This window comes from Homo sapiens, chromosome 12 (genome assembly GCF_000001405.40).
Source record: "Homo sapiens chromosome 12, GRCh38.p14 Primary Assembly".
NCBI classification, from domain to species: domain Eukaryota; kingdom Metazoa; phylum Chordata; class Mammalia; order Primates; family Hominidae; genus Homo; species Homo sapiens.
This window is the reverse complement of record NC_000012.12, coordinates 113,868,132-113,891,932: the sequence shown is the minus strand read 5'-3', so window position 1 is coordinate 113,891,932 and position 23,801 is coordinate 113,868,132. Positions and strand designations below refer to the sequence as shown.

Genomic DNA, 23,801 nt, shown 5'->3' with positions numbered 1-23,801 from the left:
GACGGAGGAACAAAGGCTTTCTACAGGGAAATGAGCGGGAAGACAGAGGGAATCACATTGGAGAGGTTTGAATCCAGGCAGTGTGATTACACTTCGTGGGGCAATTATACTCTGCCTACCTGAAATTTAAATCAAGTCCCTTTAACAGAGGCGTGTTCGCAAAAGTTTTATCTTTTTTCATCCCAGCCTGAACCATCACCTTGGCTTCTGTTAATATAGCAGAGCAGTAGCTGCAACCCAAAATGGTCTATTATTAAAAAGAAAAAGTCAGTGAATTTTTTTTAAGGGCCTCTAAGCCTCCTGGATGGATGTGGTGTGCGCTCTGCAATTTTCAGAGACTTACTATATCCTCAAGTAAGTGAACATGACAGCCCCTTCCTCCCTGTCCACCTGGACGATTCCAGCTCTGCCTTGAGAAGCAGAGAGTGATGCCAGGTCCAAACCAACCCTGGCAAATGGGAAAGAAGTTTAAGATCTGCCTGAGTCTCTGCCCTCTCCTGCTGTCAGCCCCCTCCCTGCTGGAGAAATGTGGAAAAGTGCTGACCACACTCTTTGTACTCCCTGGGGCTTATTGGTGCTTTTCTAAACAAGTTGTGCTAATGTTGACTTCCCCATGGGAGGAACAGCCCAAGTTTGAGCAAGAGAGAGTTGGCTGGATGAATAAAAGCAACCAGCGTCCCACCTGTGGACAACAGGACAGGGCAGGAGATGGCGGGATGTTTCCTGGGAAGAAGGTTCTTTTCTCTTGCTGGGGATCCTGATGCAGCCCTTCCTAAATTGGTGGCTAGGAAATAGCCCCATGGGTTGTTTCCACCTAAATATTCCATCAAGGCCAGGCCTGGTGGCTCATGCCTGTAATCCCAACACCTTGGTAGGCTGAGGCAGGAGGATCCCTTAAGGCCAGGAGTTTGAGACCAGCCTGGCCAACATAGCAAGACCCTGTCTCTACAAAAAAAAAAAAAATTGAAATATTAGCCAGGCATAGTGGTATGCACCTGTAGTCTATAGTCCCAGCTACTCGGAAGGCTGAGGTGGGAGCATGGCTTGAGCCTGAGAGTTTGAGGCTACAGTGAGCTGTGATCGCGCCACTGCTCTCCAGCCAGGCAACACTGCAACACCCTGTCTCAAAAATTATATATATTCCACAGGCACATCCATTTGCATTGGGGAGCACACAGCATCCCTTGGGAGAAGGATCTCGGAACTGTTCTGAAGTTCTGTGGGACACCCCTGCCTTGCCCTAGGGACATGGAATGGGGAGAAGCCAGCACTTCTAGCTGGTTGGTTTTTGTTTTTCAACCAGTCTCTCCACCGTGGCCAGAGCTTCTCTCTGCCATCCCTGAACATTCCCCGATACACTCGGAAGCCAGTGGGGTGGGGGTGATCGGCAGCGTGTTCCACTCATGAAGAGTCACTCATTTGTATCTCATTTTCGAGTTATTATCGAGCTGCCGGTTGTGAGAGTATTTTGACAGCAACTGTCAGCAAGGTGCAAGCGGCTGCCATCGCCTCCGATTGGCTGCAGACACCTATGGCAGGATGCTGAATAATATTCCAGCCCACCCCTGCCCCCACCAGAGAGCAAGGCAGGGAGGAAAGGGGGTGCCAGGGGAGGAAAAGAAAACAGCAGAGCAGAGGAAGGGAAAACACCCCGGCCACTCACGGCCCAGAGCCAGCCTGGCTCAGCTCCGGCAGCCCCAGAATCATTAGCATTTTTCTGACTCCCACTAGAGAAGGCGGCCGTAAAAGACTCAGATTGTGTCTAGTGTTTTATTTAATTTATTTTATTTGAGGTTTTGGGCAGCGAGGGAGGGGGGAATGAGAGAGGATCCATCCAAACAACCATTTAGGCTTGTCAGAGTTCATTTATTGAATTAGCGAGGTTACCACTCCCAGGCTCCCAGCTGCCTGGGCTCCAGCCCGGAAAGCCGGAGGTAGCTGCAGCCTTGGAGCAGGGAGCTGGGGAGCTGGAGAAGGAGGGTGCGGATCTGAGCGCTGAGGCTCTCTGATCGATTACGCCTTTTCTTTGTTTTTTTTTTTCCCCCTCAGCTTGATTGAAATGCAATGGAATGCATGTATTTTCCCTTCTTCCTCGAAGACTCCTCTAGCCATAAAATAAATCGTTCCACATGTGTTTCTTTCCAAGAGCCGTGCATCCAGGCAAAGGAATAAATAATGCTTTATATTCTCTTCCTTTCACCTAAGCAGTTTAAAATTCGTTGTTTGTTTGGGTTTTGGGGTCTTTTTGTTTTTTTTTTTGTTGTTTGTTTGTTTTTGTTTTTTTAGTATGAAAAACAAATGTCAGCGACACTAGAAAGCAGATGTGTGGTGATCAGGAAGCAGGCACACTTTTGCTTTCAACTGAGGACCCGTGGGGCTGGTCTTAAAGGCAGAGTGACTGCAGGAGAATGCCATCTTTGTGTTCCAGATGAGGGAGACCATGTGTCATTTTTGTTTGCTACCCCCAAAATTTCCCCAGATTGACTCAGGCTTCAGCTGCTTTGCCCAGGTTTGGGGCTGAGCTGAGTTGGGTTTTACAGAGTGCAGCTCCCACATTCCTGTGGGTTCTCCTTGCCTGTGGGTTCCTGAGAGCTGAAGGGAACTGCAGCTCGGGATGTGCCTTTCCCCATAGCAGTGCTGATCCACCAGGGCACTTTGCCTGCCAGGGGACATTTGGAAATGTCTAGAGTCACTTTTGGTTGTTGCAACCTGAAGGGTGCTGCTGGCATCTAGTGGATGGAAGCCAGGGGTGCTTCTCAACACCCTACAGTGCACAGGACAGATGGGGCCGAGAGACTGTGGCCTGTAGGGAAAGGACCAGAGGGAAATGTGTGGAGGAAACAGCAGAGGAGCCGGGAGCATCCCAGTGTTTCTGTTGGCATGCGGGGAGAGGGCTGTCCTCTGCCTGTGGGCATTTCACATGCATGGCCACCACCCACTAAATACCAGCCATGATCACAGTCATTGCGACGTCCAGAAGAGCCCCCCAAAGGCTTTCAGGGGGGCAGTACCACCCGTTAAGAACCACTGCCTTTATTTCTATCTATATTTTATTTTTCTAGTGCTGACCACATGCCAAACGCCAAGCTAAGTTCTCTAATATCCCTTTGGTCCTCACAATAGTCCCATGAGGTTGAAGTTTTTACCTCCATTTGAGAGATGAAGACGGGAATTACAGCTTACAGAGGCAGTGTCCCTGCCTACAGCTAAAATGCAGGGAAGACAGGTTGAAAGTCCAGCCCTGGCAGAGGCCAGTCTCTGCTTGTAACTGCTCTGCTGAGCACTGCTCTTCTGGGAACCTCAGTTTCCTCATCTGTTGAATGGGGGAACTGATGCCTGTCCTCTCACATGTTTCTCTTAAGAATCTTAAGAGAATGTACATAAAGGGGCTTTGAAAAAAATCATATACAATATACGGAAATTGTCATACTGTTCCTGGGAAGAACCTAAAATCATGTGGACAGTGAAGAGTGTTCTTTATGGGCCCCACATTGACAGATGAGACAGTGGCCACTGGAATGTGGACTTAGAAGGTCAAGGTTTAAAGCCAGTCGAGATTTGGGCTGAAATCTACAAAGTGGTTGCAAAGCAGAACCAAATAGTCTTTGACGGATGTGATGTCAGCTTCCACGGGATTCTGTTATTTGTTATGTCATTAAACAGATTGGTTATATAATGTCATTTCAAAGGGAATGTTTGTAAAGCATTGAGTTTTTTTTCACTAAAAGCAGTGCACATGCTGGCAGAGGCCCCTGACTCAGATTCTTAATAGAGCAGCATTCTGTTCTCTCGCTGTCTTTCTCCAGCTTTCTGATGGTTGGCCAGGGAGTGGGAGGAGCAAGTCCAGGGAGCTAACCACAGGTCTGGCTATGCATCCAGGTGGCCTCAGGGACTTGTAAAAAGTTGGGATGAGCCAGGCACAGTGGCTCACACCTGTAATCTCAACACTTTGGGAGCCCAAGCCAGGAGGATCAGTTGAGCCCACGAGTTCAACAACAGCCTGGGCAATGTAGTGAGACCTCACCTCTACAGAAAATTTTAAAAACTAGCTGAGCATGTTGGTGCACTCTTGTAGTCCCAGGTACTCAGGGGGCTGAGGTAAGAGGATCACCCGAACCCAGGAGGTAGAGGTTGCAGTGAGCTGAGATCGCACCATTTGCACTCCAGCCTGGGTGACAGAGCAAGACCCTGTCACACACAAAAAGGTTGGGTGCCTGAGGCCCACCCAAGATCAGTGAAATCAGATCTACTAGATGTTGGCTTTTTCTTTTTTCTTTTTTCTTTTTTTTTTTTTTTTTGAGATGGAGTCTTGCTCTGTTGCTCAGGCTGGAGTGCAGTGGTGCGATCTCGGCTCACTGCAACCTCACTCCCGGGTTTAAGCGATTCTCCTGCCTCAGCCTCCCGAGTAGCTGCGACCACAAGTGCATGCCACCACGCCTGGCTAATTTTTTGTATTTTTAGCAGAGACGGGGTTTCACTGTGTTAGCCAGGATGGTCTCGATCTCCTGACCTCGTGATGTGCCCACCTCGGCCTCCCAAAGTGCTGGGATTTACAGGCATGAGCCACTGCGCCCAGCCAGTGTTGGCATTTTTTAAAACACTCCCTGTCAGGTGATTCAGATAGGCAGCCATGGGTGAGAAAGGCTCCTCTAGATCAGAGATTGTCAAATTTATCCATAAAGGGCCAGACAGTGAAGAGTTTTAGCTTTGTGGGCCCCCAGCTCTCCATCAGGATTACCCAACTCTGCCTACAGCTCAAAAAGCAAAGACAAGAAGTCAACAAGTAGGTGTGGCTCTTCCAGTAAATCTGTATCATAGACGATGAAATTGGAATTTCATATGATTTTCTTGTGTCACAAAATGTTATTCTTGTGATTTTTTTCCCCCAAAATATTTTAAAAATGTAAAAACCACCCTTGCTTCGATGGCTGTACAAAACAGGCGGTACAGTTTGCCAAACCCTGGTGTAGATGAACACGGAATTCCCTCTCAGCGCAGGCTTTCTGCATTCCTCTGAGAAACAGGTGTTCATCTCTAAAGTCCTCTGCGCTTGCACACCCAGACCCGTCTGTCCTTGGGCTGCGTGGCCTGTGTGATGTTTACTGTTTGAGAAACTCGTGTTAAAGTTGGAACTAATGGATTCTCTTGGAGGTGGACCCATAGGATCTCCATCCAAAGAAAATGAGTGTTTTTTCCTCATGCAAGACAAGAGCAAATCTTTGGGTTAAAACAAAAACAAAAACAAAAACAAAAGCAAAAACAAAACAAAACCGCATTGTGAAAAGTGCCTGTTAGGTCCAAACTACTGAGAAAGGCCACACCACAGTTGCAAGGTCCATGGTGGACTATGCAGAGCTGAGCCTTTATCTAGCACAGGAGTAAGACTCCATTGCAGCTGTTCATGCATTACTTTATGTGATTACTTATTCAAAAAAGCTTTAGAGGAGTCTGCATCTATCTTAACGGGCCTGGGTCTGTCACTGGTTAAAATGGCAAAGCTGGCCAGTCGCGGTGGCTTACACCTCTAATCTCAGCACTTCGGGAGGCAGAGGCGGGTGCATCACTTGAGCCCAAGAGTTTGAGACTAGCATGGACAACATAGTGAAACTCCATCTCTATAAAAAATTTAAAAATTAGCCGGGCATGGTGGTGCATGCCTGTAGTCCCAACTACTCTGGAGGCTGAGGTGGGAGAATCACTTGAGCCTATGAGGCAGAGGTTGCAGTGAGCTGTGGTTACGCCACTGCATTCTAGCCTGGGCAACAGAATGGCGGTGGCTCACGCCTGTAATCCCAGCACTTTGGGAGGCTGAGGCAGGCGGACCACAAGGTCAAGAGATAGAGACCATCCTGGCTAACATGGTGAAACCCTGTCTCTATTAAAAATACAAAAAAAATTAGCTGGGCATGGTGGCGGGGAGCCTGTAGTCCCAGCTACTTGGGAGGCTGAGGCAGGAGAATTGCATGAACCCGGGAGGCAGAGCTTGCAGTGAGCCAAGATTGCACCACTGCACTCCAGCCTGGGCGACAGAGAGAGACCCCATCTCAAAAAAAAAAAAAAAAAAAGGCAAAGCTGAGAGGAGCAATATAAAAGCATATGATGTTAAACTTATTTTAACTTAAAAAAAATTCAAACATATAGAAAAGTTGCAAGAATATTATAAAGAGTTCCAGATACCCTTCACTCATATTCCCCAAAGTTAATGTTTATCATTCTCTCTATATTCCCATACTGGTTTTTCTGAACCATTTGAAAGTAAGTTTCATAGATGACCCTACTTCACCAGTAAATATCTAAAAGTATATTGTTTAAAAAAAACAAGATCCTTTTTATACGTTATAGTACAGTTATCAAAACCAGGAAATTAACCTAGAGACAATGTTATCTTATCTATAGATCTTATTCCAAATGCTACCACTTATTCTAATAATGTCCTCCATAGAACCGGAAACAACTGATTCAGAACCCCATCCAGAACCACACGTTACATTCCATTTTCATGTCTCTTTAGTTTTCTTTAATTTTGGAAATGTTACCCTGTATTGCTTTCTTTTTCACGACCCTGACAGTTTTGAAAAGTACAAGCCAGTTGCCTTGTAGAAGTTCCCCGATTGGGTTTGTGGGATGATTCGTCCTGATTGGATTGGTTAGGATTCTCACATAGAAATACCGAAGATTTGTCCCATTGCTGGTGATGTTATCTTTGATCATTTGGTTAAAGTAGTTTCAGCCAGGTTTTCTCCACTAACTTACTATTTGTCCCTTTGTAATTAAGAAATATGTTGGAAGATAGTTCAGGACCCTGAAAATATCCTGTGTGTGGACTCACTTTACTAGTTTTAGCTTCCACTGAAGATCCTTACCTGAATTATGCATCACTGTGCTGGTGGCCAACTGATGATTGTGTAATTCCATCATTCCTCCCACATGACATTTATTAGTGGGTATTCTCCCCCGGGAAGGGCTTTTCTCCACATTCCGTTTCCTCATAGTTATTTATTTTCTTATTTTTTTATCAGTGTGGGGTCAGTGGTTATTTTATTTAATGAGTTACAAACCATTATTATCATTATTTATTTTGTTTTGCAAATTGTCCCCAATTTGACCAGTGGGAACCCCTTCAAGGTAGATTGTGTCCTTTCAATGTGTCCCCATCTTTTTTTTTCGACCCTTAAGTTATTCTTTCTTAAGTGTTTTCTATGGAGATATTTCAGATTCATCTTGTACTTTCTCAGTGCCAACCTGGAATCAGCCATTTCTCCAGGGAGCCCTAGTTCTCTGCAGTGGGTGATGGTACTTAGAAGCCAAGATCTGGGTGCCAGGTGTGCTCATGGCTACAGGGTCTCCTTGCCTCCAGTACGGAGTTTCCCAACCTTGGCACATCTTGGGCTGAATAATTATTTGTGGTGGGAGGCCGTTCTGTGCATTATGGGATGGTCAGCAGCATCCCTGGCCTCTACCCACTAGAGAGGCCAGTAGCACCCAAAAAATGACAACTAAAAATGCCTCCAGACATTGCCAGATGTCCTGCAGGAATAGAGGTGGGGACAGGGGCAAAATTGCCTGATTGAGAACCAACCTGTCTTAGCAAAAAGTACGTGTGTGTGTGTGTGTGTGTGTGTGTGTGTGTGTGTATACTTTTTTTTTTTTGAGATATTGTCTTGGTCTGTCACCTAGGCTGGAGTGCAGTGGTGCTATAATGGACTACTGCAGCTACAAACTCCTAGCTCAAGCGATCCTCCCACCTCAGCCTCCTGAGTAGCTGGGTCCACAATCTTGCATCACCATGCCTGGCGAGTTTTTTGTTTTTTTTTTTTTTTGGTAGAGATGGAGTATCCCTATGTTGCCTGGGCTGGTCTTGAACTCCTGGGTTCAAGCTGTCCTCTCACTTCAGCCTCCCAAAGTGCTGAGATTACAGGCGTAAGCCACTGTGCCCAACATGTATATATTTTTAAATACACACACAGATGCATATGCTTCTATCTCTATTTCTATTTCTGTATCTGTATTAAAATCATGAGTTCACACTGATACCTCCAGTTCCTATCCAGGGTTATATTACAGGGTTCATTCTCTACTTCCCCCTATTCATGTTTATAGCTGTCTTCTCAGGCAGTGAGAAACCTCCTCCTGTTATCCAGGGCTGGTGGACAGGCAATTGAGTTCCCACAGTGGCCCCATCTACAGCAGGATGGCATCATGGGAAAGAGCAGAGACTCAGAAACCAGACAGACCTGGGTCCAAATCCCAGCTCAACGCTGATCAGTCTCATGGCCTTGGCCAGGTTACCTAACCTGCCTGATTTCCTCATCTGTAAAATGGGAAAAATATCTGTAGGCACTATTGTGGAATCACTGGTTATAGAAGATAATAGCTGTCTTTGTGATTGAGAATTTGGAGTCAGTCAGTCTGCCCTATTAGTGTGCAGTGTTCTGCTACTACCTTCCAGAAGAAAAGAGAAGATGGACTACAAGAGGGTCTTTCTCAGTATTTGATAAGCCCCTTCTTTTCCCTCTTCCTTGACTGATAGCTCAGCCAGTTAATTCCAGCAGACACCCTGACCCACATGTGGCATCAAAGAGGGTTCTGTCTGCACTAGACAGCAGCCTCTCTTGCTTTCTTGCTTTCTTGCCAGAACTGGCCACCCCCAGCCCAGGCTGCGTTGTCCAGAACACCACCTGCAATCAGTCTGTTCACCATTTCCTACTGTCACTGTCACTCTGGTAGCCACAGGTGACTTCTTGAAATTTCTGGGCAGGAGTTTTCTTTAGAGGCGATGACCTGCCTTTTGCATGTCCTGTTCCTCAAAGTTATCTCTCTGTTTTTTCTCCCTCGTTCCCTACAACCTCTCTCTGTCTGTCTCTCTCTCCTTCCCTCTCTCTCTCTCTCTGTCTCTCTTTCTCTCCTTTTGCCTTTTCCCAAAAATGTTTAGGCTTGGCAATTTTTTCAAGGCATCCCAAGGGCTTCATGTTGCCAGCAACTGCCTCTCCTGGGAAAAAGAGGGCTGCTTTATTATTGACAACGTGACCACACAGGGCTTGCAGACTCAGCATAAAAGCTGGGGCTTGAACTCTTGTATCTCTGGACTCTTAGTGGCTCCAGAATTTCTCCAATGCTGTGGGTCATCTGAGGGTACCTGCCAGGGAGCTCCATTTGCCCAGTAAGCACATGCTTTTATGTAGATTTTGGGTGGCTGGGGAGGGGCTAATGGGAGTCCAGAGGGTTAAGATACCCCAAGCCGCTCCTTGGAGCCACCCCTGGGCTCGGCATGGGCCCCGCTTCCCATAATTCTCAGTCTTCTCCCTCCCCCCGTGCCTCCAGCTCTCATTTAGAATCCACTCAGCTCCAGGGCCTTCTCTGGCTCTTTTCAGTACTGAGCAGGCTGTGCCAGTCGTTCATCTTGAGATTCCTTTTACTATGAGCCTAGAGCTCCTTTCAAATAAAATATGCTGATTCTTTACCTTGGAGGAGGAAGAGTTTTCTAGAACACAGAATTCTGGTGATTTAGGATCATGCTTTAAGGTTTACAGAGCCTTGAACTCCCATGGAGGTGGCTAGGCCATTCCTCCACTTCACACAGGGTGTGAGTGATTTGCTCAAGGTCACTGAGCCCCACAGGCCAGGTTTGGGACAACTCTCAATGGCCAGTTGAGACAGAGAGAACCATGTCCTCCTTAAGACACCTGGTGCCTGTCCTATGCAAGAGGAATGGGGTTCTCTTTCTTTTCACCCCAAGCCATGAGGTCCCAGCACCTATCTCTCCTACACACCTGCCCTTCACTGTGTCCTCAGCCCAGCTGCCAGAGCCCTTCTCCCCTTAGAGGGGAGAGCACATGAGCTGACAGAACTCCCAGAGAACAGGGGCCACCAGGACTCTGTGACTTGCCCATGGGGGCCTGGAGGATTTGAGGACAGAAGCTCCGTTATAAGAGGACCCAGCTGTACCGAGTGGCCAGCAGCACAATTAGTGACGGTCAGGGTGCGTGTGCACCCCCATGGGTGGAGGGCATGTGGGTCGTCTCTGCAGGAAGGCTTTGCTTCTACCCCACAGAATAACTGGGCCTCCGGAAGAGACACTACCAGGCCTCAGTTCTTTCCAAGAGTTGGTGTTGCAAGGAAGCAACATGTGGTTTTCACAAGGAAGGATTTTGTCCAGCCTGTGAAAGAGACCTCCTCTTAAGTCAGGGAGCCAGGACAGTTGTTCACACCCATCCTCCAAAGTGTTTGTTAGCAGAGATGGCAGCGTTTTGCCTTCCTGTCTGGCCGTAGTTTCGTCTTCCATGAAATGGGCCCTTGAGGGAAAGAGAGAGGCTGCCACGTCAGGGTTTTTATTAATATAAGCTGTCACTTTAAAGAAAGACACTCCAGGCTCTGGATGCAAAAGGGAGGTAACTAGTGGCCAGAGGAAGACAACGTTTGGTGTAGATGTCCCTGCCATTTTTTTAATTCACTTGTTTCCTCCCCCAAAAGTAGAGAAGTCAGGCATTCCCACCTGGGTCCTGGAAAAACTGTTCTCACTCTTCCATCTCCCCAGCCGTGGGCCTCCTCTGGCTACGGAAACTTAGATTATTTTTTGGAGGTGGAGACACCAAGCCACACCACACTTGTCCTCCTTCCTCCCTTCCCACGACAGATCGTTAAATTATTCCAGGGGAGCCAGAGCTCTGAGGCTAAATTACCACAACGGCCGTATCATGGCAACTGTACCTGTCTGTGCTTCTGCAGCTGCAGCTACCGAGAAACTCGCTCGAGAAAAGCCATTATCGGGGCTGGGTGGGGAATCCAAGACAGTGCGTGTTCCAGAACTCCCTCCTGCCTCCTCAGACCCATTAGAGCAGCGCCCCAGTTCAGGCAAGCCTTGCGTGTGTAAGGAAGCAAATTGAGGGGATGATGGTGTTCAGGATGTGATGTGGGTACTGATGTTCACAGCCCAAAACTCACCCGCGTTTGCAGACTAAGGGACATTTGATGACAGCAGTGTTTTTAGGAAGGGGGCAAGGCAGAGAGAGCCTCTTTCTGTCTACGTTCCTGATGTTTGCCCTCATTTATTCATTTCTTGAGTTATTGAGCACATGAGAGGGTCATGGGGGATGTGTTTTTGGCCAAGACCAGTAAGGCCCCTGCAGTCACAGAGCTAAGGTACAGGTGGGAAAACGGAACAGTAAATTAGGGGGCATCAGAGAGTGGTCACGTGACGCAGGCTTGTTATGGGGCGATGGGGTTGAGGGAGCCTGGGAGTGTAGCTCAGTGGGCAGGGAAGGTTTCCCTGGAAAGGTGTCTCTGACGGGAGGCTAGCAGAGACCAAGGCAGGGGGAGTGTCAGGTGCCCCAGCCCTGAGTAAGTAGGGCTGTAGCCCAGAGTCTCGCCGTTCGCAGCTGTGACATCACTCTGCTTCCCCTGAGACCGAAGCCACTTGAAATATGACCCTCATGCAGAAAAATGTTTACGACAAGGCTCACAGAACAAGAGCTGTCGTACCTGTCAGGATCTCAGCTAGAAACAGAATTCATGTCGCTGTGTTCATTACTTACCGAATGGATCTTTACAGATGTAGGCAGGATCATGGAACCCACGAGGAACCAGTGAGGGTAGGGGAGGTACTCAGCATGCCCAGAGACCAACCACAGCAAACAGAATCTGTCACTTCAGGGGGTATCAGAGCAAATAAAACGACAGGATTCCCCATTTAATTTGAATTTTAGATAAAATTTTTTAAGTGGTTTTTTTGTTTTGTTTTGTTTTGTTTTTTTGGGCATAAGTATGTCCCATACAGTACTTGGATGTACATGCAATACCTATTTGTTCTTTTTCTGGAATTTATACTTAAGTGGGCCTTCTTCATTTTATCTAGTGGCCTTCATCACCACCCCCGGGACCAGAGTGACGGGCTTTGGGGAGACAGTCAGAACCACCACTGAGCACAGAGGAGGGGCTGCCCGGGGAGCTGTCATTTTGTAGGGCAGAGCTGCTGCCAGAGAAGGGGCTTCTAAGCAAGAAGGCACCAGGAAGAAATGCCTCAGCCCCTCTCTGCTCACCCTCTGCCTGCCCACCAGGAGTCACAGTACTGCCCTCCATTGGGCATCTGGGAAAAGGACAAATGGAGCCATGTACAAGCTGGGGTGGAGGAGGGTGCTATTTGTGCCAGGAGACTTAGGCTAAGGAGGGTTCCTGCAATGGAATGCTGGATGTAGCCCGAGCTCCCCAGCAGCCTAGGGAGGAAGGGAAGCAAGTGATTCTCCTGGGCATTATGGATACAGGGATCAAGGCAGAACAGTGTTTTGTATGCACTAAGCTCTTAGGAGGAAGGAATGGGTGAGCCATCCAGCCATGGTGGAAGCGGGGCGTAGGAGGAAGGAATGGACAAGCCATCCAGCCATGGGGCCTAGGAGGAAGGAATGGGCAAGTCATCCAGCCCTGGTGGGAGGGGCTAGTGTTTGAAGTGTCAGTGGGTTTTCTTTTTCCCCTTAAAAAAAGAAAAGTCCATATATATATATATATATAAAATGTATGTATGATCATTTTTACAGAAAAGAGTATGGAAAAATGCTAAATGTCTATCTTAATTTGTTCTCTCCAAACCAGAAGACCTTAGGTACAGATGACCCCAGGGAGCTGGGACAGCAGGACAGACAGGGAAGGGACAGGTCCATATATAGGTGTGTCATTGCAGCCACTGCAATGAACATAACATGCAAGAAATGTACAGAATGTGGTCCAGAATTGCCCACTGGTGTCCTGTGCCCTGGTGGACCCCACAGAGGACTGCCCCAGGCTTTCACTTTCCTTCCCCATGGATTGAGCAAGCTCCCAGGGCAGGATGGGTGGCCAGGAGGGGCAGAACGCTGGCGGGGACGGGGAAGCCAAGTGCTCACAGGACCATCCACCACAGCTGCAGCCACACTGCAAGACGGCGGGGATGGGACACACGGTCTAGTTCTTAGTTCTGCCTCCTACAGGCAGCCCCTGCTGTCACTCCAGAACTAATTCTCTGTGTGCCACTCACTCGCGTGTGTGACACACAACAGATACACATACATAGACACATACGTACATCTCCTCCCCCAATCTCACCCTCTCACCACCCCCCCCTTTTTTTTTTTTTTTTTCAATTCTTTGGCACCTGGCTTTTTTTCTTTTCACTCAGTTGCATGCCTTGGCTATGGTCCAGTTTAGGGAACAGTTTTCTAATGGGCCTCCGCATAGGTGACCTTGGGCGGCTTTCCTGCCATCCCCGTGCTATGGGACGTTTGCTGAGTGAGGGTGTGTGTGTGTGTGTGTGTGTGTGTGTGTGTGTGTGTGTCAGGGAGAATGGATGTACCTCTTTCTTCTGGGCCCCATGTCTTGCCACTCTCAGGGCAGGGTGGTAAGGTGGCTTGTCCCTTCTCCTGGTCACTTGCAGAAAAGAACCCGCTTGGGGCCTGCGATGGCCGATGCCAGGTTCAGCTGTCTGCAGTGGCAGGATCCCTGGAAACTTATCCATCATTAAGGCCCCCTCAGGTAAATGACACATTGGGAGGCAGAGGTGGAGAGGCCTAATGAGGCTTTGTGCTAACCTCCCTAATTACCAATTGACTTGATCTTCTCACGGCTTCTAATAAGTGCCCCCTGTAAGTACCTGATTAAGGAAAACAAATAGGGAGTGAGGAGGTCAAGACACCGGGTGTTTAGGGTGACATGATGAGGACACAGTGGCAGAGAGGGGCCCTGGGCTGGGGATACAGTGGTGATGTGATGCCTAAGGATGGAGTGGGGTTTGGATGGGGAGGAGATGAGTTGAGAACAAGGGTCGTCGATGTTTCTGTAAAGGGCCAGAGAGTAAATACCCTAGCTTCATGGGCCATGTGATTTCTGTCTCAGATCTTCAGCTCTGCTGTAACTTGAAAGCAGCCGTAGACGAGACATAAGAGAATAAGAGTAGCCGTGTTCTAGTAAAATTGTATTTACCCCAAATATTTAGTAGGCCAGATTCTGCCGGTAGGCCATGGTTTATTGAGCCCTTGTCGAAAAGAACCAGTCATTTTTTTCCTTTTTTCCTCTGTATCATTTAAAATGGTAATTGCTGTCCCAGTGGACATTAGAGAGCAGGAGCTGGGCCTCACTCGCCCATCCGTTCTGAACATAGTAGGTGCCTGCACATAGTAGGTGATTTGTAACTGAGTAGAGAACCAAACCCAACTTGGATTCTGAAGACCAGTCTACATGAGCTCTCATCCTGGGGCTGCTGTTCTTGCAGCTACTGTCCTTTTGCATTTCTCTTGCTTTCGTTGCTGCCTGCTCATACCCATCCTGATCTTCCCTTCAGCACTTCCTTTTTGAGGCCTGTTTTAGTCAGGAGGGACTAGATGCATTGCAGTAACAACTTAGCCTCAAACTTCAGTAGCTTACCTTAGCTACAGTGTATGGACGCATCCAGGAGGCTCTGCTCCACATAGTCACTCAGGCCCCCAGGTTTCACCATGGCCGGGGAGAAGACAGCTGCAGCCCCACACTCAGGCCTCTGCTCACACCTCATGGGCCAGATCTGGCCACAGGGCTCCCCCTAACTCCACCTCCCTGTAGGGTCTGGGAGGGGTAGTGGGGGCCATAGATACTTGGCAAGCAGGTAATGCTTCTTCTGTGGTAACGGGACCCCCCCGCAATGTACTGTCAGTAAAAGTTCCTGGGACAGCACAGTTCCAACCTGTGGGTCTTTGTGGTTCACGGTCATCAGTGGTCACTGGTGTATCAGAGGAGGTCCTCTCCCTGACGGAAACCTTGTTTCAAGTAAAATCACCTCCACACCCTAGAGAAGCTTCCCTGTCTTGATTTGCAGAGAGTGAGACAAGCCACGCATCCTTGTGGCTGCAGGGGCAGCCCAGTGGGGGCATGGGACCTTGGTGGGCTCCAAGTGCCATCTCTGTGGCTTGATATTTTGCACCTAGGCAGGGGCAAGCACCTTCCCTTTCCTCATGTGTAAAGTGGGATTTCAGTCCTGGCCCTTCACTGGCTCCGAGGACACAGGTGTCAGAACACTCTGGAGGGAGGGTTATTCTTAAACTGCCCCACATGTAATCCCAAAGTTCATCCTGTCATTCACTCATTTAATTTGTCCATTTTACTTCTTTTTTCTTACATTTTTTATTGTATTATTACTATTTTTTTTTGGAGACAGGGTCTCACTGTCACCTAGGCTGTAGTGCAGTGGCACGATCTCAGCTCACTGTAGCTCTAACCTCCTGGGCTCAAGCATTCCTCCTACCTCAGCCCCTACGGTATCTGGGAACACAGGCACACACCACCACACCCAGCTTATTTTTGTATTTTTGGTACAGACGGGGTTTCACCATGTTGCCCAGGCTGGTCACAAACTCCTGAGCTCAAATGATCCTCCCACCTCAGCCTCCCAAAGTGCTGGGATTACAAGCATAAGCCACCATGCTCAACCCCATTTTACTTCTTCTTGAATACTCACTATGGGCCCAGCTCTGTGTTCATTGCCATAGATTTATTATCTGTTTTAAGCCTTAACACAACTGTTGAGCATGGAGACCATTGTCCCCATTTCACAGATGGGCAAGCCGAGGCCAAGTGGAGGAGAGAGGCTTATAAGCACTGGAGGCAGCTGGACTCCCAGGTTCACACTCATGACCCCCACCTCCCAGCTATGCCTCTAGACTTACCTTCTTCCCAGTGTGGGTGGCAGCCACTCCCAGCATAGGTTGCAGATTCTGCCCTGCAGTTGCGGGAGCAGCCCCCCACCCAGATATAGGAAACACAACATCTGATCCAGACAGAATTTCTGTTTAATGCGGGACTTGAATCCAGTCAGAGAATCCTAGTCTGGTTTTAATTATTTCCCACCTTGCCCCATGAGGGTGTGAAAACCTTTGATTATTTTTCCTCTAACAATAAATTCCCCACCCCACACCCACCCCAAGGCACACGTCACCACAGGCCTGCTGGAATAGTCACTGTGCCTCAGAAAAAGCTGTGACCACACTTCCCCATCTTCCAAATGGAATGGAGGAGGAGGAAGTGAGGACAGGGGAGGTGTGGCCGAGATTCACACAAACGGCCCCTCTCCTGTGTGTGCACAGAGAGGCAGCTGGGAGATGAAGCACATCCTGGGCTTTGTGCGTCGCCAGAGACACGATCATTGACTTTTCCCTCTGCGTGAACTTTGCAAATGACGCTCTTTAACGCACTTGTGAGATAAACAGTGGCTGTTGCAAGGGGCCTCCTGACCATTGATTTTTCTCGTCTTTCTCTTCACTTCTGCCTCAGGCTCCTTGGTTTTGCTACACCCCAAATCCTATCTGGTCCTAACTGGGTTTCTTATTAAGAAAAGAGACTCCCACCTACATACACCAAGATGTCCAAGGGCTGTCCCGACTTGGGCTGTCACATTTGCGTGCTCTGACTCACATGTTCTGCCTTTTCCTATCACCACCAGGAACCAGCCTTCCAGAGTCCATTCCTCTCGGTCCTGGACTCCAGGCCACGCACAGACCCGATTAGACCTCTTGGGCTCTCAGCTTCTGACTCACCATCCAATTCTAAACTTTTGTAATTGAATCGAGTTCTTTGTTGGTTTATTTGGCCTCAAACAAATGGTCCAACTCGCAGATTCATTTCAACCCTTCCCTGCATCTTAAAACTCACCAGTCATCCTGAGCTCGGCTTGTTTTATTGTTGTTTTCTTTCCCAGACTTTTAAAAATAATATTTGTCCCAGCAGGGTGATTCGTTCTCCTCCCCATGAGCACTGGCAGGCTCTGCGGCATGAATCACTCGCTCCCGTGCTCCCTGTCCCCTGACATGTCCCTGGGAGGCCTCCAACGCTTTCTGTCGAACGGTCCGCACCGTGGCTTCGCCGCTTGCATCTTCTGCAGAGGTGTCTTGGCTGTCATCTCCTGGTTGACAGTAGGCCTGGCTTTCTTGAGAAGCTCAGATGTTGAAGCTACTCAATTACCTGAAGTACACCCCAATCTGTACCCCACTGGTCTGGAAAAGTGGTCCCCTCATGGCTGTGACCTCTTGGTCTGGGACTTCCCAGGGAGACTCAGTGACCATGCCCGCTCCCTCTTTTCAGCCGTTGTGTAGGGCCATTTGGATGCTTTGGCCTTTTGCCAAGAGGATGGGGAGCATCTGAACTGGGCTTTCCAACATCATGGGGGTTCTGGAGTGTTCCTCCTCATGGCAGGTGTCAGAAACCTCTAGAATGCTAGCTCTTCAGAAGCCGCCTTCCCTATCCATCATCATCTCCTCAGCCTCTTTTTCCACTTCTGCCATCATTTCCCAGTGGCTGGCGGGCTCCAGCTAGAACATAAGGACTGAGTTCAAGGGCTGAAGCTGGTTACTGTCCCCAGGGTGGGGCACAGTGTGCCAAAGCAAAATCCACAGTCAGACAGACCCACACGCAAGTCCTGTGACCTCAGATAAGACCTCCCCTCGAGGTCTCACATGCGTCCTGGGAGGCCTGCCGCCCAGTGGGTCTGCTCTGGGCCTAAAGGGAGGCAGCGCGTGTAGAGCATTTGGCATGGCCAGGGCAGGTGCTCAGCAAGTGCCGCTTCCTCCCACTCCCCGTTTCTTATTTCAGGTATTGAGAGCCCGATCATGAGAGGGGCCAGAAATCAGAAAATCCAGGAAAAGACAAGCATCCATTAATAACTCCATTCATCAGCACTCCACAGACACTTTTTAGTGGGCACCTACTGTGTGCCAGGTGCTGTTGGAACTGTTCTGGGTGCCGGCCATTCAGTAGTTAGCAAGGAAGACCAACCATAAACAAATAGAGGGGAAAAAATGTGCAATAGAATGCAAAGTCCCATAACATCGAGGTGACAAATGAAGCAGGGTGACAGCAAATGCTAGTCGTGTGCAGACAAGCAGCCTGGGTCGGAGCACCTTTGAGGTGGCACCCTCCACCTTGCTGCTGTTCTCTGTTTCCATTTAGCAGGGCGGTGACTGGGTTTCTAGGTTCATCTGTTTGTCTCTGTGCTAAGCAGGTCTCCAGGGTGATGGCGAGATATCTGGCTCTTGGCCCTCTGGGGCACAGCACTCCCCACTTGGTCCAGACACGTGTAACTCAGCTCATCACCCGCACCATGCGTCTCATTTCTCCCATCACTGAACAATGAGGGGTTTCCCCAGTAAGTGACTTTGCCACCTTATACCTTTAAGTATCAGCCCTCTGAAAATGTTGACCATTCAGTGGAAATCTTCCTAAAATACACAGTGCCTTTTCTTTTTTTTTTTTTTTTTTAATTTATTTTTTTATTGATAATTCTTGGGTGTTTCTCACAGAGGGGGATTTGGCAGGGTCATGGGACAATAGTGGAGGGAAGGTCAGCAGATAAACAAGTGAACAAAGGTCTCTGGTTTTCCTAGGCAGAGGACCCTGCGGCCTTCCGCAGTGTTTGTGTCCCTGATTACTTGAGATTAGGGATTGGTGATGACTCTTAACGAGCATGCTGCCTTCAAGCATCTGTTTAACAAAGCACATCTTGCACCGCCCTTAATCCATTTAACCCTGAGTGGACACAGCACATGTTTCAGAGAGCACAGGGTTGGGGGTAAGGTCACAGATCAACAGGATCCCAAGGCAGAGGAATTTTTCTTAGTGCAGAACAAAATGAAAAGTCTCCCATGTCTACTTCTTTCTACACAGACACGGCAACCATCCGATTTCTCAATCTTTTCCCCACCTTTCCCGCCTTTCTATTCCACAAAGCCGCCATTGTCATCCTGGCCCGTTCTCAATGAGCTGTTGGGTACACCTCCCAGACGGGGTGGTGGCCGGGCAGAGGGGCTCCTCACTTCCCAGTAGGGGCGGCCGGGCAGAGGCGCCCCTCACCTCCCGGACGGGGCGGCTGGCCGGGCGGGGGGCTGACCCCCCAACCTCCCTCCCGGACGGGGCGGCTGGCCGGGCAGAGGGGCTCCTCACTTCCCAGTAGGGGCGGCCGGGCAGAGGCGCCCCTCACCTCCCGGACGGGGCGGCTGGCCGGGCGGGGGGGCTGACCCCCCCCACCTCCCTCCCGGACGGGGCGGCTGGCCGGGCGGGGGGCTGACCCCCCCACCTCCCTCCCGGACGGGGCGGCTGGCCGGGCAGAGGGGCTCCTCACTTCCCAGTAGGGGCGGCCGGGCAGAGGCGCCCCTCACCTCCCGGACGGGGCGGCTGGCCGGGCGGGGGGGCTGACCCCCCCCCACCTCCCTCCCGGACGGGGCGGCTGGCCGGGCGGGGGGCTGACCCCCCACCTCCCTCCCGGACGGGGCGGCTGGCCGGGCAGAGGGGCTCCTCACTTCCCAGTAGGGGCGGCCGGGCAGAGGCGCCCTTCACCTCCCGGACGGGGCGGCTGGCCGGGCAGGGGGGCTGACCCCCCCCCACCTCCCTCCCGGACGGGGCGGCTGGCCGGGCGGGGGGCCGACACCCCCACCTCCCTCCCGGATGGGGCGGCTGGCCGGGCAGAGGGGCTCCCCACCTCCCAGTAGGGGCGGCCGAGCAGAGGCGCCCCTCACCTCCCAGACGGGGCGGCTGGCCGGGCGGAGGGCTGACCCCCCCACCTCCCTCCCGGACGGGGTGGCTGCCGGGCAGAGAGGCTCCTCACTTCTCAGACGGGGCGGCTGCCGGGCGGAGGGGCTCCTCACTTCTCAGACGGGGTGGTTGCCAGGCAGAGGGTCTCCTCACTTCTCAGACGGGGCGGCCAGGCAGAGACGCTCCTCACCTCCCAGACAGGGTCTCGGCCGGGCAGAGGCGCTCCTCACATCCCAGATGGGGCGGCAGGGCAGAGGCGCTCCCCACATCTCAGACGATGGGCGGCCGGGCAGAGACGCTCCTCACTTCCTAGATGTGATGGCGGCTGGGAAGAGGCGCTCCTCACTTCCTAGATGGGATGGCGGCTGGGCGGAGACGCTCCTCACTTTCCAGACTGGGCAGCCAGGCAGAGGGGCTCCTCACATCCCAGACGATGGGCGGCCAGGCAGAGACACTCCTCACTTCCCAGACGGGGTGGCAGCCGGGCAGAGGCTGCAATCTCGGCACTTTGGGAGGCCAAGGCAGGCGGCTGCTCCTTGCCCTCCGGCCCCGCGGGGCCCGTCCGCTCCTCCAGCCGCTGCCTCCCGGGCGGCGCTCGCCGGCGCGGCGGCAAAGACTGAGACACAGTGCCTTTTCTAACCAGTGCAAGGAATCCTGAGCCCAGGCCACAGTCTGGGGACACTGGTCAGATCTGTTGAGGTGTGTCTGCTGTTTGCCCCTGTCCTAAATAGCCCCAGACTGCTGTGCTTTTCCAGTGGTTTTAATATCATGTTTTGATACTTTTTGTGTAATCAAGGGATCAAAAAACTAAAGCCTACGTCCCCGTCGTCCGTTTTGGTAAATAAAGTTTCACTGGCACCTAGCCATACCCACTCATTTACATATCATCAGGGGCCGCTTTCACGCTACAGAGCAGAGTAGAGTAGTCGCAAAGCTAAAATTATTGACTGTCTGACCCTTTATAGAAAAAATGTGTGCATCCCTGGTCTAATTCGTGGCTGCTAGTTGTCACTTCTGGAAGTCTTTTAGGAACCTGCCACTATTAATCCCAGTGCCCTTTTCAACTCCTCTGGGATGAGAAATTAAATAAACGAGTTTGTTTCTAAAATAAAAGTAAATAGGCTTTCAGTGGCTGGGCCACGGGGCAGGGCCAAGGGCTTTCCCATAGGTGACAGGCAGAAGCTTAGTATGTGGGTTTCAGGCATCATTTTGTTTGCCAGGGGCTCTTTTCTTTATTTTGGCTTCTCTGGAGTCTTGAGGAGTGCGTGACAACATCTCCTTGTGCAGGCTGTAGTAGTCACATAGCCTTAACATCATGTGACTTGCTTTGCTCTAAGCTTCTTGTTCCCTGAGTCTCTGTGCTGGCCCCTAAATGGTGGCATTGCCTCACATTCCATTTGTGCCCTGCAAGAGGAATCTGGTTCACTGAACCATATGCAGGGGCCTCCTGCTGCCATTGGAGGGCCCCTGTCATAGAGATGCCCTCTGGAAACCATGTAGATGTGTCTGGATGTTGAGGTGTGTCACCTTGTGCTTCTCAGAGAGGTCAGCACCCTGATAGTCACAAACTGCTATGTCACGAATCTCAAATCTCCCTGGGATGTCTTCCTCTTGACCAGTAAGCAGAAGCCGGTGTTGGTGGCTATGGGCTGCTGCTTGGTGCTGTTAGTGCGGAGACGATACATGGAGAGTTTTCTAATTTCCTAGGGACTGGAACTTTCTACCTACCCACCTGTGCCCCTCCCTTGATCCCTGCAAAACCCTGCAAAACCCTGCAACCTCAGTGGACATTCTCCCTGTATTTGTAAGATCTTGTTGCTCTGCTTTTCCATTGATAGCCCCCTTATTCTCATCACCTGCCCTCCTTGTTCTCTAAGTAGGAGGATCCAGGTCTTTGGAAGATTCCTGCCTTAGGTTGAGGAGTCAAAACAGACTGGGAGAGCAGCACAGTACAGGACTGGTGCAAGGCAACCCGAGGCCATCTGGATTCATGCTCTGCAGACCACATTAGGGTTCTGAGCATTGAAATGGATCTTAACCAAATAAATTGATAGGGCCCTTTCAGTGTCTGTAGGAGACGTGGCAGGCGAAGGAGTGGGCACAGAGTGGAGATAGCAGGTGCTGCGAAGTTGAGCGGCCACCCTGAATCCAGCCTTTTCAGGAGGCGTGGCCATCAGCAGGCAGCAGGCAGCAGGAGTGGGTGTGAGCCGGCGACACAGTGTGTCTTCCTGCTTGCCATCGCCTGCTCACTCTGAAACAGTAGATCCAGCTCCCTGCTCTGTTTTACAAGAGAGCTCACCCCATCTTCTCCTCCTGCCTCATCACTAACTTGGTTTCCACCCTCAGCCTTCCAGGATCCTGGAACTTCATCTTCATGGCAACCCCAGGGGTAGTTAAATCCAGTACCAGAGGTTTCTAGATTTGGTGTTGACGTGGAGCAGCCCTGGGAGCCCAGGAGTTCACCCCATAGTGGCTTTTCTTAGAGTGGCAGCAGAAATGGGCAAAACAAAGGGTGTCAAGTTAGGCACAATGTTCACCACAGCTGGTGACTTCCTGGATTCTCTTCATCTCCTCTTGGAGTTTCTGGAGTTACCTTGGAGATATCAGGCCTGATGGAGATAATAGCAAAAAGCAAGATATGCGGCTGATTAATTCTTGAACCATTTTTAAGATAACAAGCAAACGGCTGGGTTTTTTTTTTCCTCTTTAATTTTTGTCCTTCCTCTTTTCACATTTCGTGTACTGAGGATAACGACACCAAAGGGTGTTAAATTGGTTCTGAATGTCCACCTCTGGCTGGCCACATTTTAGTAACGATTTCATTAGCCTGAATTATCCACTTTATTTTCTTGTAATGGGATTAGCTGTACTTGAGGCAGCTGAAGACTAGAGGGGGAGAAAGTGGGGGAGAGCATCCACTGTGTGTTTCATTAACTCACTCAGGCAGAGGGGTGGAACTGACCAGAATGCAGTACCCCAGGCCAGAAATCGTGCCTCCATCCTCTCCTGAGAGGAGGAGCATGCACAGCTATCCCAAGGGCTTGCCCTGCCCAAGGGATGGCAGAGGTGCCTGGGTCTGGCTGAGAGATGCCTCCTTGGGGACAATTTCTTCCAATTATCCATGTGGATAAGAGGGAGATCCACTGCTTCTTCAGAGTTCCACGAATCACAGAATCACATCTGGCCTCTTTTGCTTAGGCCCCTTTGCCATCTCAGGTCTTTTCTGGGAACTCCTGATGTTCACTAGGAGGGGTCGGACTCTCAGCCAGTTCCTCGCTTTGACCCAAAATACCATAAGGGCTTAGGAGGGGTCACCTGCTTGGCACCAATATAGATCCTTTTCACAGATAAGCACATTACTCACAACAGTTCCCATTTCTTCAGTTCCTGATACATGCCAGGAACCTGGATTCAACGACATTGTGTGGGCTGGGGGACGTTGGTTGGAGCCCATTTTATAGGTGACAAAACTGAGCCTCAGAAAGGTGGTGGCAGGTGCCGGGCTGGGATCTGAACCAAAGTCTGGCTCCGCACTTAGGTTCTTTTGGTGATGCTGTGATTCAGCCCCTCACTGTCAGAGCTAGACTTCCTCTGCAGAAGCTCCCTGCTGTATACAGTCCCTGGTGAGTTAGAAGTGTTACCTGAATGTTAGTTAAAGACCAAGGCCTTGTGCCTTAATGTGTATGTTCGGCCCTTCTGAAGTGACTGCCTTCTTCTCCTCTCCCATATCGTACCTCCCAGCTGTATTCCATGGAATACCAGTGTCCTGAGAGATGCTAATAGCTTTCCTTGTTTGGGAGTTTGAGAAACACTATGTCTTTTCCTTTCCCAGAGAAATCCTCCATGCACCTAACATCTTAAAGGCACTGTCAAGGTCTGCAGCAGAAAAGCTTGCTGAACTCTGTTTAAATAGATGTCTCCCAAACTTACCAAATCCCAGAAGACTTTAAACATAGAATATCTATCAATATCTTTCAGGACAAGTTCAAGAAACACTGTTTTAAAAAAGTTATCTCTGATTTTTAAAACTCTATTTTTATGAAATTCTCTGCCCGAGGACTCTATTCAGGTTCAGCAGACAGGGTTCCCCCTTCAGTTGCTTCTAAACTGTACGCACAGATCTACCCCGTCTACTGTGAGGCAACAGGTAAGGAGAGCATAGGCTTTGGGGTTTCATCAGGCTTTGGTGTGAGACCTGTCTCACCATTTAATAGCTTTGTACATTTTGGTAAATACCTTAAGCAGCCAGAGACTCATTTTTCCTGTATGTAAAATGGCCACACAGCTGC

At 50.1% G+C, this 23,801-nt stretch overlaps 1 protein-coding gene across 7 annotated transcripts in view; it reads left to right on the top strand.

The window, feature by feature from the left end:
* RBM19 (RNA binding motif protein 19) overlaps positions 1 to 23,801 on the top strand; it is a 149,586-nt gene that overhangs the window by 74,393 nt on the left and 51,392 nt on the right. The gene's annotated exons all lie outside the window — the stretch shown is intronic.